Source organism: Homo sapiens, chromosome 3 (genome assembly GCF_000001405.40).
Source record: "Homo sapiens chromosome 3, GRCh38.p14 Primary Assembly".
In the NCBI taxonomy this organism is placed as follows: domain Eukaryota; kingdom Metazoa; phylum Chordata; class Mammalia; order Primates; family Hominidae; genus Homo; species Homo sapiens.
Window position 1 is genome coordinate 167,520,851 of NC_000003.12, and position 17,356 is coordinate 167,538,206.

The window sequence follows — 17,356 nt, forward strand, 5'->3', positions numbered from 1 at the left end:
AGGATGCGGAAACTATAAGGGATGATTGCATCAGAGAGAGTCTTATGTGTGAATTGAGACCCACTCCATTGGAGGGGAGGAAAGCTTTTCTCTTTTTCATTTCTAGCCTCTATTCACATAGCCCAAATAGCTTAAGGTAGTCCTCTAGGGTAACAATGAGAGGGACACAGCAGACCTGTGTCTCACTAACACCTGAAGAAGTCTACAGGCAAAAAGCTGTACCTGGAGTTGCAGGGAGCAGTGGGGAAACAGTGGAAAAGTTGGTATTGCAAAATGTTTGAGTTTCCTACAGGCCAAGCAGAAGTTAAACCAGGAGTTGTGCAAGAGGGGAGGCTTGGCAATGTGCAGGACTGTAACAGAAAACACTGTGATGTGTATTACAAGGGGCATGAGCTGGAGGAGGTGAGCCATAAGAAACTAGTCAAAGAGTTCATGAGTTTGGAAATGTGCAATGCAGAGATCCCTCAGTGGGGTCATCAAAGAACCCTCAACTATACCCCCAGAAAAAAGAGAATGCTTTGCACATCTGCCAAGCCTCAAGAACAGCAATGCTACCTTTTTCCTTCTTCCCATCCTCAGTGAAAGGAAAACTGTGACTACTGAGTTAAAGGGAAGAAGAAAAGACAGTTCTCTCTGGTGTTTCACCTGTTTAACATAGAATGTTACAGAAGCAATGAATTAAAGCATGGTGGGAGTTTTATAGAATGACTATTTTCTTGTCAGCTCTGAGTAAACCCCATTTCTTTTCTCACATTGAACAAATAATAAATCAAAAGCGCCAAAATATTTTTATTATTCTCCAAGTAATAAGCTCAGATATCTATCTCTACAAGAATAAAATAGCCATTTAGCATGAAAGTTAAGTTATGAGAGCATGGTTTAGCAAAAGTGTAGAAAACAAAAGAACTAAACTCCTTAACATGAGAGCATAAATGAAATGTAAATATGGAATCTAGCAGAGTGATGTGAAGAGAAGAACGTCTGAGCAACATAGAGAGACGAGAAGCCTTAAGGAAGTGATGTCTAACTTCAAAGTTAAGCTCTTTGAACTTTTGTCACATAAACCGCTGTGCACTTTATCAAAACCAGGAGTAAAATCTGATACACATTCTAAGATAGATAGATAGATAGATAGATAGATAGATAGATAGATAGATAGATAGATAGATTGTTTTTGAAGAAAGGGGCAAATTTTCACAATTAGATTGATGATGGAGTAGCAGTAAAAGACTAGATGGCACTTAATACATATCAAGAATCAATGTAGTCAAGAAATAAGAACCAAATATGGCCCCGATAATATAAGTCACTCATTCATACGCACCTACCAATCCCCCAAATTTTGGAGAAATCTTGAGGTAGTCATTGAACATTCCACAGAGGACACAAGGAAATTTGGACCAATCTTATCTATGTCTTATCTAGACTTCAGTTGACATCTGGCTAATGTTCAAAATTACTTACTTGTATGTTGAGTCATCTTTGTTTTTCTTATTAAGTAGAGAATGTTCTGTTGGGTCTAAACAAGATTCCTCCTTAGAAAATAAAGAAATTTCCTTTTGAATCTCACTTTCCACTAAATTAGTATCTCTTTTAGGAAGGAAAAGGCAGTTTTCAATATGCCAGTGCTTTGCCTGAAAAAAACGAAAACATCTGTTTTATTTTTATGAAATTTATTTTCTTCAAACATTTACGTGTGTTTACCATGTGCTGGATTACTAATTAAAGTCCTGGGGTGGGACACACAAGAAGATGAAAAAGATATGACTCCGGTCCACAAGAAGCTTACAGTTTTACATGGGAAATGAAAGAGTTTCATGTAACTTTAATAAAGGTAGAAAATGAGATATGTCATAAGAAACAAAAATTCTCTGAAGAGATAATAATGAACTACAAAAATTTTTTTACCATTCCCATTTTAAAATTCTGAATAGCCAGATGTACATTTACTAAAAACAAAACAAAGCTTTTGTTAAAGAATTGCCACACTTATTTATTCCCTCAACTACTTTATTTGCGTGTTACCTCCTTAAATGTTTTCAAAAGCCAATTCAGTTATTAAATATTGTTTTCTAAAAATTATGTGTGTTATATAATAGTTTTCACAGATTTGGCTACACTTCTTAAAATGCATTCATCTAGCAAAAGTTCCCCATTAACAATCTATTTTATGTTTTAAATACAGAGCCAATTTTCTCATCTTATATCAATACACTTCATGCACACAGAATGTTCCAGAGAATGCAGCCTGTGAGATATGAGGGGAACCGTAGGCATCCTGCAGATATTTGGCTGGTGCGCAAATTGATCAGACTTGTCATAAGTGTTTGCAGAATAAAATGCCTACAGAGCCAGTCAAATAATATCAATGAATGAATTGAACCTAATACAAGAAAATAAATGGGTAATAAATAGTAAATAAAACTCACCCTCAGTTTTTAAGGCAATAAAAAAATTCAGAGACTATACTGAATTAAAGAGAACCCATTTTACATAAAAGCCATAGTTACTCTTAAGGAATGACATACATTCTTTTTTTTTTTTTCCACCTTAAGTTCTGGGATACATGTGCTGAACATTCAGGCTTGTTACATAGGTATACATGTGCCATGGTGGCTTGCTGCACCTATCAACCCATCATCTAAGTTTTAAGCTCCACATGCATTAGGTATTTATCCTAATGCTCTACCTCCCCTTTCCCCCACCCCGCAACAGTCCCCGGTGAGTGATGTTCCTCTCCCTGTGTCCATGTGTTCTAATTGTTCAACTCTCACTTATGAGTGAGAACATGTGGTGTTTGGTTTTCTGTTCCTGTGTTAGTTTGCTGAGGATGATGGTTTCCAGCTTCATCCATGTCCTTGCAAAGACAAGAACTCATCCTGTTTTATGGCTGCGTAGTATTCCATGGTTTATATGTGCCACATTTTCTTTTTCTGGTCTATCATTGATGGGTATTTGGGTTGGTTCCAAGTCTTTGCTATTGTAAATAGTGCTGCAAAAAACATACATGTGCATGTGTATTTAATAGTAGAATGATTTATAATCCACTGAGTATATATTCAGTAATGGGATTCCTGAATCAAATGGTATTTCTTGTTCTAGATCCTTGAGGAGTTGCCACACTGTCTTCCACAGTGGTTGAACTAATTTGCACTCTCACCAACAGTGTAAAAGCATTCCTATTTCTCCACATCCTCACCAGCATCTGTTGTTTCCAGACTTTTTAATGATTGCCATTCTAACTGATGTGGGATGGTATCTCATTATGGTTTTGATATGCATTTCTCTAATGACCAGTGATAATGAGCTTTTTTTCAGTGTTTTTTGGCCACATAAATACCTTCTTTTGAGAAGTGTCTGTTCATATCCTTCACTCACGTTTCGATGAGGTTGTTTGGTTTCTTTCTTGTACATTTGTTTAAGTTCCTCATAGATTCTGGATATTAGACCTTTGTCAGATAGATAGATTGATTGATTGCAAAAATTTTCTCCCATTCTGTAGGTTGCCTGTTCACCCTGATGATATTTTCTTTTGCTGTGCAGAAGCTTTTTAGCTTAATTAGATTGCATTTGTCAACTTCAGCTTTTGCTGCAATTGCTTTTGGTATTTTAGTCATGATGTCTTTGCCCATGCCTATGTCCTGTATGGTTTTGCCTAGGTTTTCTTCTAGGGTTTTTATAGTTTTAGGTTTTACATTTAAGTCTTTAATCCATTTTGAGTTAATTTTTGTATAAGGTATAAGAAAGGGGTCCAATTTCTGTATTCTGCTTATGGCTAGCCAGTTTTCCCAGCACCATTTATTAAATAGGGAATAATTTCCCCATTGTTTGTTTATGTAAGGTTTGTCAAAGATCAGATGGTTGTAGGTGTGTGGTGTTATTTATGAGGCCTCTGTTCTATTCCATTGGTCTCTTTATCTGTTTTGGTACCAGTACCATGCTGTTTTGGTTACTGTAGCCTTGTAGTATAGTTTGATGTCAGGTAGCATGATGTCTCCAGCTTTGTTCTTTTTGCTTAGGATTGTATTGGCAACATGGGCTCTTTTTCAGTTCCATATAAAATTTAAAGTAGTTTTTTCCAGTTCTGTGAAGAAAGCCAATGGTAGCTTGATGGGAATAGCATTGAATCTATAAATTACTTTGGGCAGTATGGCCATTTTCATGATATCGATTCTTCCTGTTCATGAGCATGGAGTGTTTTTCCATTTGTTTGTGTCCTCCCTGATTTCCTTGAGCAACGATTTGTAGTTCTCCTTGAAGAGGTCCTTCATGTCCCTTGTAAGTTGTATTCCTAGGTATTTTATTTTCTTTGTAGCTATTGTGAATGGGAATTCGCTCATGATTGGGCTCTCTGCTTGTCTATTATTGGTGTACAGGAATGCTTGTGATTTTTGCACATTAATTTTGTATCCTGAGACTTTGCTGAAGTTCTTTATCAACTTAAGGAGTTTTTGGGCTGAGACAATGGGGTTTTCTAAATATACAATCACGTTGTATGCAAACAGAGACAATTTGACTTCCTCTCTGCATATTTGAATACCCTTTATTTCTTTCTCTTGCCTGATTGCTCTTTTTTTAAGAGAAATGAGAAACTTGAATCTTTACATGAAATCTATTATTGTTTAAATGTGGGCAACTAAATCAAATTTTAATTATTCACTGGATGAAGAGACACAATCAAAGTCACTGGACATCAAATCAATCAGATGAGGAGAGTTGCCAGTACATAAATTCTGCCTAGCACAACAGTAGTTAGTGCACAAAGTGGGGCACTGAAGAATTTCAAGCATCATTTGAATTTCTTCTTATCCCACAATCACCTGTCAGCTTCGTGGGATAAACATGCATTTATGAATAAATCCTCTTCACTCCTATTTCTCCAACTCTAGAAATAGACATACCATACAACTTACTTTTAAAAATCTAACCTGAAAACCAGCCTAAGGTCAATAGCTATGTTATAAAAGTGATTCTAATTTTTGTTTTTTTGTTAAACAAACAAACAAACAACAAAAAAAAACTTCCCTTTTCTCCTCTCTCTTTCCTTTCCCTCTTTTCCTTTCCCTTTCCCCTCCTTTCTGTTTCTTCTTCCCCACACTCTTTGCTCTACATCTTGGGACTAATGGCACTTATATTCAAGACAGCTTGATAAAAGTCAATCCTTTAAAAAATAAAAATTAAAAAAAAGAAGTAGTGCAAGCAGAAGGAACTAGAAAACCGTTTTCCCCAGATTTGCTAGCCTTCAATTTGTAAAACTGACCCAGCTCTGATGACTCTTCTCCTGTCTTGAACAGAAGGGAAAAAATAAAATTATTCTCATGAGGGCTTTTTGCATCTTCAAAAAAGCAAGACTTCACAGAAACAACAAATAATATCAATAATACAAAAATAAGCAGTTTTACAAGCACACATTTCTGAATTAAAATAAAATTTAGCTACAGATTATGTTTGGTGGGTGAACTTTATATGGCACCTACACCTAGAACGGTGTTATTTCTTGGTTCGACCCCGGATGTCTAAGGAACTTCTTAGGTCACCCACTTGATGACGTTTCGTTTCTTTACCTGTTGTTCAAACCTCCACCTCATCTTGCCACAGCCTCTGTCAGCAATGCTTTGGCTTCTTCAGTGGCCTGAAGCAGGCTTCCACCCTCTTTCCTGTCCAGACTGCCAGCCATGTCCCACCCTGTCTCACTCATCACAAGCCTGTATGAGTTCCCACTTAGCCGCTTTTTTTCCTGACTGAGAAAAGTCTAGTGCTTGTCTTATTTACAAAATACAAGAGATTGCTACAGCTCCGGAGTGTTACATTGAGACTGTCGTCTAGCCAATGTGGGTCCACCTCCCAGATGATTTTCTGATTTACCAACACCCTCTGCATCCTAAAGGGGTGCTTAGAATTCTTTCCACACAGGTTGGCCTCATCAAACTGACTTTACAAATACAGCAACAACAAACCTTGTCTTCCAACACTAAAAGAATTGCCTACTCTCCTGGCATAAGATTGGCACCTGAGGCTCCTAAATAGAACCAAATCAGCTGGCCAAACAGATATTGAGGCTTCACTTAAACTTATACCAGGTTTGAATAGTACTGGTTGAAACCAGTGAAACATATTTTGTCCGCAAAAGCACAAATGGAACAGGAAAAGTTCCCAAGAAAGCAAAAGGAAAAAATAACAGAAAATATGAGACTAAATATTTCCTTTCTTTCATGACTCCCATTTCCATTTCATTTCATAGGCAGGAGCAAGTCAGATCTTGAGAAAGGGGTTAAAAATGTGAGCTCTGAAGTGACCCAACTTGAGTTAAAAACAAAACTCTACCACGATTAGCTTCTGTGAGCTCAGGTGATTTATTCAAACTCTCTGTGCCTCTGTTTCCTTATCTGTAAAATGGGAATTGTGAGAGCTGCTCCCTCCTGAGTTGAGCAATTGTGAAGATTAAATGAGTTAATTCTTGAAAAACATCTTAGAACAGTACCCCACGTACACAAGAAAAACTCAGCAAATGTTAACTATTATTATTTGGCAGCAGTAAACCAGATAATGAATAGGATGATTGGTTTTTTTTTCTAAAATTTTCTGCATTTGATTATTACGTTCTTAGTTAACAGTCATAATCACCTGTCTTTTTAGTTACATGATCATTTTATCCACGTTGAACTTTTACTAAATGTTGAAATTGAAGAAATTTATTCTAGAGGAGAATTTTTTCTCAGAAATCCTAGAATATTTTGAGCTGCACAGAGCCCCCATCTTTCCATGTCTCTGGTGTCTTCCACTTGATGGAACTGTCTTGGTTAATGGAAAACAGGGCAAGAGTCGCCTGGAGCTACTGCTTCGGAAATGTTGTCAGTTCTTTCATGACTAATGAACATTAAACAGCTGATGAGATTCAAATAGAAATCAGCCCAAGTTAATACTAAATGTCAAGTAAATACTAGAATAATAAAGAAGCAATATTTCTACCTGACCAAAGATCCAAACAGGAGCATTGCAGACACCAGTCACACAAATACTGCAGTCTGCAGAGGAGGAGATAATCAGTAACTGACCACCTGGCTCACACATCTCTAAGGAACTTATTCGGTCCTCATGAGGTTGGAATGATCTTATCAGAGTTGGGGCCTTGGTGATTTTGTTCTTACTGGAGTTAAGACAGTACTCCTGAATGAAAAGAAATACCAGAACTCTAAAAAATTCAAATATGAAATGATTACAATGACATAACACTTTTAAAAAAAGGCCGATTTTCAAACTTGGGAACAATAACCTATGATCCAAATGCAAAAGAAAAGTTCATGATAAAAGAGGCTAGAAAACGAAATTACATTAAAAAAAGGTTTCTAACTTATCTGATTACTTGGGAAATAAAAAAAAGGAACTAGTGGGGAAGGAGGAAGGAAAGAAAAATATAAATAGTAAAGCCAATTATTTGATAGAGATGAACTTTACCACATACAGGTGGTCACATATACAACGTTCAAATATTATTAGAAAATTGAGCAGGTAATCAGTGATAAAAAAGAAAAAATCCCAAACTAACTCAGGGTAACAATAATGTTAAATGAAGGAATAGTCCTCTAGTATTTAAATTACATTTACAATCTCATTGCAGATAAGGTGTAGCCTCACCCCAGGCAACCTAGTGAGACCCTGTCTCTACAAAAAGTAAAATAAATAAAATAAAATAAAATAAAATAAAATAAAATAAAATAATTAGCTGGGCATAGTGGAACACTCCTGTAGTCCTAGCTACTCAGGAGGCTGAGGTGGGAGGATGGCTGGAACCAGGAGTTTGAAGTTGCAGAGAGCTATAATCATGCCACTGCACTCCAGTCTAGGTGACAGAGGGAGATCCTGTCTCAAAATAAATAAATAAATACATACATACATTAAAAATAAGGTGTATCCTAATTATTTACATTCAAATAATGCTGCAGTGCTTTACTAACAATATTGCATTTCTAAATTGGATGACTTACTTAACAGAAGGTTGTCAATATTGAGAAAAACATGATTTTCCTCATTAATTATTTAAAAGAAGTCTCTGCATGAAACTTGTAAATGTTTTATTTAAAACACTTAGACTATACATTTTTTCCTTTGTTTAGGAGACAGACAAGGCTTGATTCATAGTTACCTGCAACAAAGGGTCACCAAAAATCTTAAAGGTAATGTGATAATGTTTTTCAATTTACCTCTATATTCCAGATTTTCAACCATCCATCAAGATCTCCTGTGGTAAGGTATCGATTCATCTTATCAGTAGACATAATAATCGATCCAACTCCACTATGAGCCAAAAATTCAGCCAGAAGTTGCTTCTTATATATATCCCAAAATCTGACATAACCAGATCCTCCACATGATACCAGGTTAGCTCCTCCTAACATGTAAGGGAAAAATCTAACTAGAAAACTGAACAACAAATGCCAGAAATAACTTCTTCAGTGGCTTTCCCTGTGGAAAGCATGTGATGTTGAAGAGGTGAGTAGCCCTGAGATCAATTCCCAGCACCACTTTAATTTTCTCAAATATAAAATGGAGGTGACGCTATGATAACCTCACTGGTTTGTGTTGAGTATTAAATGAGATAGGATATTGAAGTGTTCCATTACGTTTAGTTCCCTTTTCTTCATTCATTATTCTGATGTTTTGGGGGTATTTAAAAGTTAGATAGAATTGTTTCTTCAGATAAAACATGAAATATTAATTCCAACATTATGATAATATTCTCATTATATAAAATTAATCTTCCCTAATAACCCACTGGACATATACAATGAAGTAAAAGTCCATATGCACAGATTTGGATGGAATATGTAGTGATAGCAGAATAGCTATTGACTTCTCCGTTTGGCAGCATGCTTAGAATTCTATTTATGAGCTTTCTTTAAATGTTTTCATCAATAATTCATTGTAAACCCTTATAAAACCCCTTTTTGGTGAATGAGCCTAGAACTAACCTTTTCATTTTCCATTTTTATAGGTTTTGTTGAAGCACTTTACCTAAGTTATTCTTTTGTGGCAAGGTTCCTATTATTTGATAAATCTGTAGATGACTTCCAGTTTGCTTCACAAATGTACTGCCAATAAACAATCATATCTATTTAAGGTAGAAATAATAACATGTAGCTGCTTCAGTGAGAACAATCTGGGAATACTGATAACATTAAAATTAGTATTGAGGAAATGAGAGTAATTTCAGGATAATAATTCATATTGTGAGTATAAGCAAGTTCTAGAAAATGGAAAGTTTTAGAATCTAATTGTTTCAAAGTTTATTCTAAACATCCCAGAATGTTTTTAAACTATACCTTTATTGATTCTTAATGATTAAAAATTTTATATGAAAATTATACAGATTTTCATCTGTAAATTAAATATGGGAAACAATAAACATAATTCAGATATGTTCATTTCCTTTTCAAATACATAATACATATATGTCTAGTTCCTAATGTTAAGAAAAATATACCCTGAAGATACGATTGTTATTTTAGATGAAAGGTAAAAAAATATACATTATTCTCCAAGGCAGATTTTCATTTTGGAAAGATGCAGGCTGCATCAACACCATGCTAATATTGCCACTGACAACAAGGAAAAAATTAAGCAAATGGTTATTTCACTTACATAATATCATATAACTACAGTAAATCATAAAATAGCATCAATGTTAGTATACATCTCTGGAGAAGATATAACCAATACTTAAAAAAAAAAACAAAACGATGAGAACAGAGAAGAGAGCAGGCAGCTCTTGTCCTGGGATTAGCAATTCTTTCAAATTCTGTTACTGTTCTTAACATCCATGCTCCTCATTATTCTCTTCCAGCCTATTTTGATTAGGTGCTCATATAGTCAGTCTCAGACTCAACTTTTCTGCTATATGTGGACTTAAGCTTTGACTTCGGCATACATCTTGCTGTGCCCCTACTGTATTAAAACCTCTTTATGACAGGTCTGGGACAACAATTCTGATTGTTGCCCGTATCCAATAATTTGTCAGAATTTTTCCCATCTTGATCTTGACATATACAACACTGGATAAATTAGTAGTGGGATGTAGTCTGGCTCCTGCTCTTGAATCCATCCTCCTCAATTCCAACTTCCTTTGCCATGGTCTGTGACCTCACTTGACACACTACTGACTGGTTAGCTACGTGCAGTCAAATTCTACAAGATCTAGTAGAAATAGATTGGATTTTCTTTATTGCTCCCTTTCCAACTATATGTAAAATGTAAATATATATTTTACCTGTCACTGCAGTGTTTTTTCTTGCTTTAAGAAAGCAAAGTCTCATAACAGCATTTTTGCCCTCAGTGTCAATCTCAAAGTTGCGGACTCCCGTGGTAGAATGGTCTGCCATGGGGTGGGAGGGTTGGCTTCTCCCAGCACTGAGAAGTTTTTGAGGTTTTGTATCTGTGAGGGAGACAAAGCCAAGTATATTAATGAAGAAAAATATCTGCTTTTCAAACTAATGCCTATGAAATAGCAGGCCCACATCTATCACTATATCCATTGACTCCAAGTCTCACAAGAGACTTCCAGTCAACATCTATCAAGCCTTCTGCTATTTCTCAACCCCAACTTGAAGAATTGTTTGACATTATTTTTGTTTTTCATGTTCCATACACACTTGCTCTGTTTTCACTTGATATGAATTAAGTAAGAACTTAATATTGGCATCAATGCTAACATCTTAGGGATCCTAATATGCCCAGGACAAACGTAATTCCAATACTGTGGCATTTTCAACTTATTAATCATTAAAATTAATCTTGGAAATATTATAATGAACATGAGTTCTAAAGACTATTTATGTTTAATTAAATGAGCCTTTTTAACAATACTATTTGTTAGCGAGTTACTCTGGAGAAAACATTTCTAAGCATACTTCAATTATCTAATGACATCATCTCCAGGCCACACTAGTAAACACTGGGGATATTCGTCTCAGAATCTAGGAACAGTCTGCCCATAGTTATGAAAAATCTATACAGACGTATTTTCAAAATTCCAAAATAAGAAATCTATTGCAATGCCTTTCATGTCTTTTAGAAATTTGATATTTATTCACTTTTCTCATTAATTATCTCTCTGTGTATTGTAAAGCCCAGTGTAGAAGAAGAGGCAGAATTCCAACCTCCTCATGGCAAGTTCAGATGAATCTTAAAATGATTAGCTCTTAGTACATAAAGCAGGTCAGAGCTTTGTGTTTGCAACCAAGTATCCCCTAAATCTCTTAAGTTTGTTTTCCTACTCTTAAGAAAATAGCTTCTCAGCTTTTCACCCAAAAAGAAAACTGCATCTGATGATCAGTCCATTCCTAAAGTTCAATTCAGCCTCTATGAGTTTATTCAGTTGAGACAACAGAACCTCACTGGGCCATGAAGAATGACATTTTCATTACCAAAATAAATTAGTCTAAAGAAAAACCTTTAGTATCTAAGGAAACTGAAATAAAATGTGAAAGGCAATTGTCAAGACATTTTACTTAAGTATAAAATATTCATGTGCTCTGCTAAACTCCCATAAAATACAATATACTCCCATCTAATGTTCCTCATGGGCTTCTAAAGCAAGGAATAATTTAAGATTTCCAGGTGGCATAATATTTATTACAAGCTCTAGATTGAGTCTGAACAGCCTATCGAGTGAACATGAATTTCCATTTTTTTACCAAAGGGTATCTAACGTTCACTCTTAGGTAATTTGGCAAGGTTTATTGAAAAAAAATAAACTAAATAAAAATGACAGTCTTGCTCCCTGCTGTCGGTAGTTCAGAAATACCAATGTAGCATAAAGAGAAGAAATGGCATGCCATGGAGAGTGTGCTAAGCCAAGTAAATCTCAAGGTTCTCTTTAGCTACTTTGGCAAGACAATGATATCCTTAATCCTTCAGGCTTATAGCCAATCATCTATAATTTAGGATCAAGTCGCATCAGGCACATGCATGAACAACCAGGCCTACTGTGATTTGACTAGCCATGTTATTTTCGTTTCAAACTCACACTTACCTAATTTTGACTTTAGCAACCTCTGGTAATCAGGGTGAAGAACATGGTGAGCATTCTCTGTGCTATTGTTCCATAGAACAATTTCTCCATCATAACTCCCTACACAAGACAGGATGGAGAATATAAATTGCCAGGAGATTAAGATAGAAAATATGAGCAACAGCAATCAGAAGAAGTTATTAGCAACATATCTTCCACAGAATATGGCACATAGTGGGCACTCTATATTTTTAGAAACATGAATAATAATAATTGGTATTTGTTTTAACTCTAGAGCTTACAATCCCCACAGTATAACCTGAGCATGGGTGTGTAGAAATTACTGTTGTTTCCTTTTATTTTATGGTAATAAAGCATTCAGAACAGATGCTTTGCAAATAAAAAACTGGAGCTTGAGTCTTGGTTCTCCCACTTACTGTGTGACCTTGGGCATGTTATTTAACTCTGCTTGATGCTGCAATTTTCTCATCTATAAAAAAGAGTTAATAATTTTATTTATCTCATAGGGTTATTGTAGAGAATGAAAGTATTTACAATAGCACTGAGCATATTGTAAGTACTGGAAAAAATGTTAATTACCATCCTACTTTTTATTATTGGGTAAAAGCAAGTAAATCAAGTCCTCCTATGTTTCTGTTTCCTACATCCCTTCTTGTGTGTGTATGTGTGTGGGTGGGTGTGTGTGTCTTCTCTTCATACTTTCCCTCCTATATTGAATACTGAATATTGTCTTTATTGAATATTGTCTTCTCCAATCCTGAAGTTTTTCCTACAGAAAGTCCTTCAGTACTGCTCTTCACAGAGAACAGAGAAAAGCCCAAATAGCCCAAAAGCCCAAAGTGAGGTGAAGTCTGAGCAACCATGTCCTGTGGAGGAACAAAGCAGCAACGCCCAGACCATTGTTCTCAGTGGCTCAGTGAGGACAGCTACCCACTGAGCAGAGTGTCTATGGTAAGGAGAGCAGAAGAGTTTGGGTGGGATGTACAAATGGTGACTTTTTTGGGATTAGGGGAGAGGAGAGAGAAATGCACACCAAACTCTGTATTGTCCTAGAAAGAGCAATCTCTTTGGGAGGCCGAGGTGGGCAGATCAGGAGGTCAGGAGTTCGAGACCAGCCTGGCCAACATGGTGAAACCCCGTCTCTACTAAAGATACAAAAAAAAAAACTTAGCTGGGTGTGGTGGCATGTGCCTGTAATCCCAGCTACTAGGGAGGCTGAGGCAGCAGAATCACTTGAACCCTGGAGGCAGAGGTTGCAGTGAGCCGAGATTACACCATTGCACTCCAGCCTGGGCGACAGAGTGAGACTCCACTCCATCCAAAAAAAAAGAAAAAGAAAGCACAATCTCTGAAGCTCACAAATTGAACCAGGGGGATGGAGTTCAGCTGTCCATAGAAATATCCATCTTCTCCTATGCTTTACTAGCAGTGACTGACCAAATATTTCCACATAGGATTGATGGGAGGAGAATGAGTGAAGAGATTGTCTACCCACCAATACAACGGTATTTACTAATACTTTCACAATAACAACCACACCATTTTACACTTCAGTGCCCATCACATTTCAGGATGTGATCCTCCCTGCAGGGGTGGCCTTCCAGTGGCTATAAAGCTAATTTACCTACAGAGTTGGCCTTACTAGAAAGTAATTTCATTAGTCCTGAAAACAGGGGAACTTTAAATATAGATAGATCAGTAAACCTCATATTGTAACACTTCATAGATACCCTGGATCTTTTCCTGTAAGTTTTCATTCCTCTTAATTGATGACATTTTTGGTTCTATAAAAAAAATTCAGCTGTCAAAATATGGACTTGAAAATTTCATGGTGCAATCTGTCTCTATAAATTGCATTCTTTGGCCAGAAATGATACAACAATTTTTCATTCTCTTTAATATGCCACATCAAAGCATGCCTATGAATCATTTTAAGAGCTTGGATTTGTAGACATTTTGTGAGGACAGACTTTTATCAACATTATCTGGGCTAAATTATGCCAAAGAGTTACTATGTTCACATTATGAAACATCTAAGTGCCACCAACGTGTGATTCGTACCTGACAGCCCTAAAGCTGCTCCTGGAAAATGGACAATACAAATAAAAGCTAATATTTATGGATGAGCTTATTGTGTGCTGAGCACTGTGTTAAATGCTTGCACAGATAATCTGAACTATAAACCAAAATATAGATATATTATTATCAGCCAGACAAAATTATGATTTAGAGTTTAAATAACTTGCTCATTATCAAGTTGTGGCAATTGGTAGAGCCGTGAGGGGAAATCAGACAGCCAGGCACAGGAGCTGATGATCAGAACTACCAATATATTTCCCTAGAAATAAGGATAAAGAAGAGCAAGTGCTGCTTCTTCAAAAATCTATTCATGCTCAAAGGAAACCATCAACAAAGCAAAGAGACAACCTACAAAATGGGAGAAGATAGTTGCAAACTTTACATCTGATAGTATAAGGGGTTAATATCCAAAATATATAACAAAATCAAACAACTCTGCAACAAAGAAAACCTGATTTAAAAATGGACAAAAGACCTGAATAAACATTTCTCAAAAGAAGACACACAAATGGCCAACAGACATACGAAAAAATGTTCAACATCACTGATTATCAGGGAAATACAAATCAAAACAACCTAAGTGAGTGAGACATCACTTCATTCCAGTCAGAATGGCTCCTATCAAAAAATCAAAAGATAAAAGTATTGGTGAAGATATGGGGCAGAGGAAACACTTACATATGGCTGGTGGGAATGTAAATTAGTATAGCCTTTATGGAAAATGATATGGAGGAATTGAAAATAGAACTACCATATGATCCAGAAATTCCACTACTGGGTAAGGAAATGAAATCAGCATGTGGAAGAGATATCTGCACCACACCCTTATGTTTTTTGCAGCATTATTCACAAAAGCCAAGATATAAAATCAACTTAAATGTCCATCAATGAATAAATGAATAAAGAAAATGTGGTATATATACACACTGGAATAGTATTCAGCCATAAAAAGAATAAAAGCTTGTCATTTGCAGCAACATGAATGAACCTGGTGGACATTATGTTAGGTGAAATAAGCCAGGCATATAAAGACAAATATCACATCATATCACTTAGTTGTGGAATCTAAAAAGTTATTCTCATAAAAGCAGAGTAGAACAGTGGATACCAGAGGATGGGGAGGGGAGACAGGAGGGGTGAGAGATTGGTCAATGGGTAAAAAGCTAGTTATATGGGAGGAATGAGTTTTGGTGTTCTATTGCATAGTAGGATGACTAGAGTTAACAATAATGTATTGTATACTTCAAAATAGCTAGAAAAAAGATTTTTTAATGTTCTCATCACTAAGATATGATATATGTGTAAGGCTATTAATATGCTAATTACCATGATCTGATCATTGCACAATTTATACATGTATTGAAACATCATGTTGTGCCTCATAAATATGTACAATTATTAATATTATGTGTCAATCATAAATTTAAAAAGAAATATATGGCCGGGCACAGTGGCTCACGCCTGTAATCCCAGCACTTTGGGAGGCTGATGCAGGTGAATTGCTTGAGCTCAGGAGTTTGAGATCAGCCTGGACAACATGGCAAAAACCCATCTCTACTAAAAATACAAAAAACTGGCCAGGCATGGTGGGGCGTGCCTGTGGTCCCAGCTACTCAGGAGGCTGAGGTGGGAGGATCACTTGAACCTGGCAGGTGGAGGTTACAATCAGCTGAGATCTGGCCACTGCACTCTAGCCTGGGCAACAGAGTAAGACCCCATCTCAAAATACATATATATATATATATATACACACACATATATATATATATATATATACACACACACACACATACATATACATATATATATATATAAAACAACTGAGAAAAAGCTTTTCTAAAGGTGAGTGAGCCAAAACAAACCAAAACAAATCAAACTTCACCAATGATTGTCAAGTGAAAGTTCAATTTACCCGTAACAAGAGTTTGTGGAGGTAAAAACGCAGCACACAAGATGTCATCATGGTGCTGTATACCTCCTTTCCATTCTTCAGGCTGGATGAAAAATTGATTGAAGTTTTGGGGTCGAAACACAGTAATAGCCCTAGCAAAAAGGATATAGAATTTAGCTGTGGATCTAAAATTGATGTAGACATTGAGTAGCCACTATCCACTTGAATGATGTGATCCAAGACTTTTAAAAGACTATGCTGCCCAAAATTTATCCCCACTTGACAACCATAATACTGAGTTTCCCACACTAAACATTTTTATTACCTCATTAAATTATCTGGTAAATTATAAATTTTTGACAATAGAAGGTTAATTATCCTTTCATAATCGTTAACAACAAACCATGTAACAATTTATCAGATTAATTATCCATCACCACGACCCTAAAGCAAAGTTTCCCCACATGGGTATTATGAAATCACCGAGTTTTATAGCAATAACAATTAAAAGAGGGGGCAGGCCTATGAACAAATAATGTTTTGTACTTCAAACAAAGTCAATAAGGGTTTTTTTTCATCAATTTTCTCAGGATATTTAGCACTCCTTGTGGCATTTTCAAGACTTACCTGATCACAGAATCCATTCTCTTGGAGTCTACAGCATCTTGAAGAACTACAATTTGTGGAACATACTTGGAAAATGCCACCCCAAAGAAGTAGGACATAGGACAGATACATTTTGAACAGAAAGAACAGTATTAGAGAGGTCAGTATCTTCTGGCACTGCTGATAAATTTGAGGACAGGACAGGATGGGCAAAGAATGAAATGCCTTGTGCCTGGTGGGGAAGGGAGGAGTGTAAAGATTCCATTGTTGGGGCATTAATACCACCCTGTTTTCACTTGATGATCCGAGCTCTGGCCATCAGCCTATACTAAGCCTCTTGTTCCTTCTAGAGCCATCTAGATCTCATGTGAGCATTTGCAACCAAAGTTATGGGGTCTTTCACCATCATTCTCTCTTCACCTTCCTGAAATCTTTTATTCCCACCACTCTAAAGGTCTCTTAGTTGTCCTACCAGTGTTACTCCTCAGCCTCAGAGTTTCCAGTATGTTCTGCTTCTCTTCCTGCCTCCTGATCTTTCTTTCCCCACTCTTTATTTTCTATTCCCTTCTTTCTCTCACCCTTTTTAACATGTGGTATATATACACAATGGAACATTCCTTATCTTCATTCCTCCCTTTCTCTCTATCCACTCAAACTGGCTTAGAGATTTCATATATCACCATGAGTTCCAATGTCACTGCTATACAAATGGCTCTTAAATTCTCTTCATTCATAATCTTTGCTAGAAATAG

The 17,356-nt window shown here is 36.3% G+C and overlaps 1 protein-coding gene across 4 annotated transcripts in view; it reads right to left on the reverse strand.

Moving 5' to 3' along the window:
• The window catches only part of WDR49 (WD repeat domain 49), a 179,240-nt gene that overhangs the window by 42,167 nt on the left and 119,717 nt on the right, over positions 1 to 17,356 (reverse strand). For all 4 annotated transcript variants that reach the window (NM_001348951.2, NM_001366158.1, NM_001348952.2 and 1 more), the window contains 6 exons: positions 16,020 to 16,150; positions 12,029 to 12,127; positions 10,265 to 10,429; positions 8,202 to 8,389; positions 6,970 to 7,167; positions 1,465 to 1,634 (listed from right to left, as the gene is read on the reverse strand). In NM_001348951.2, the coding sequence (NP_001335880.1) occupies positions 1,465 to 1,634; positions 6,970 to 7,167; positions 8,202 to 8,389; positions 10,265 to 10,429; positions 12,029 to 12,127; positions 16,020 to 16,150 (951 nt within the window). The remainder of the gene's footprint in view (positions 1 to 1,464; positions 1,635 to 6,969; positions 7,168 to 8,201; positions 8,390 to 10,264; positions 10,430 to 12,028; positions 12,128 to 16,019; positions 16,151 to 17,356) is intronic.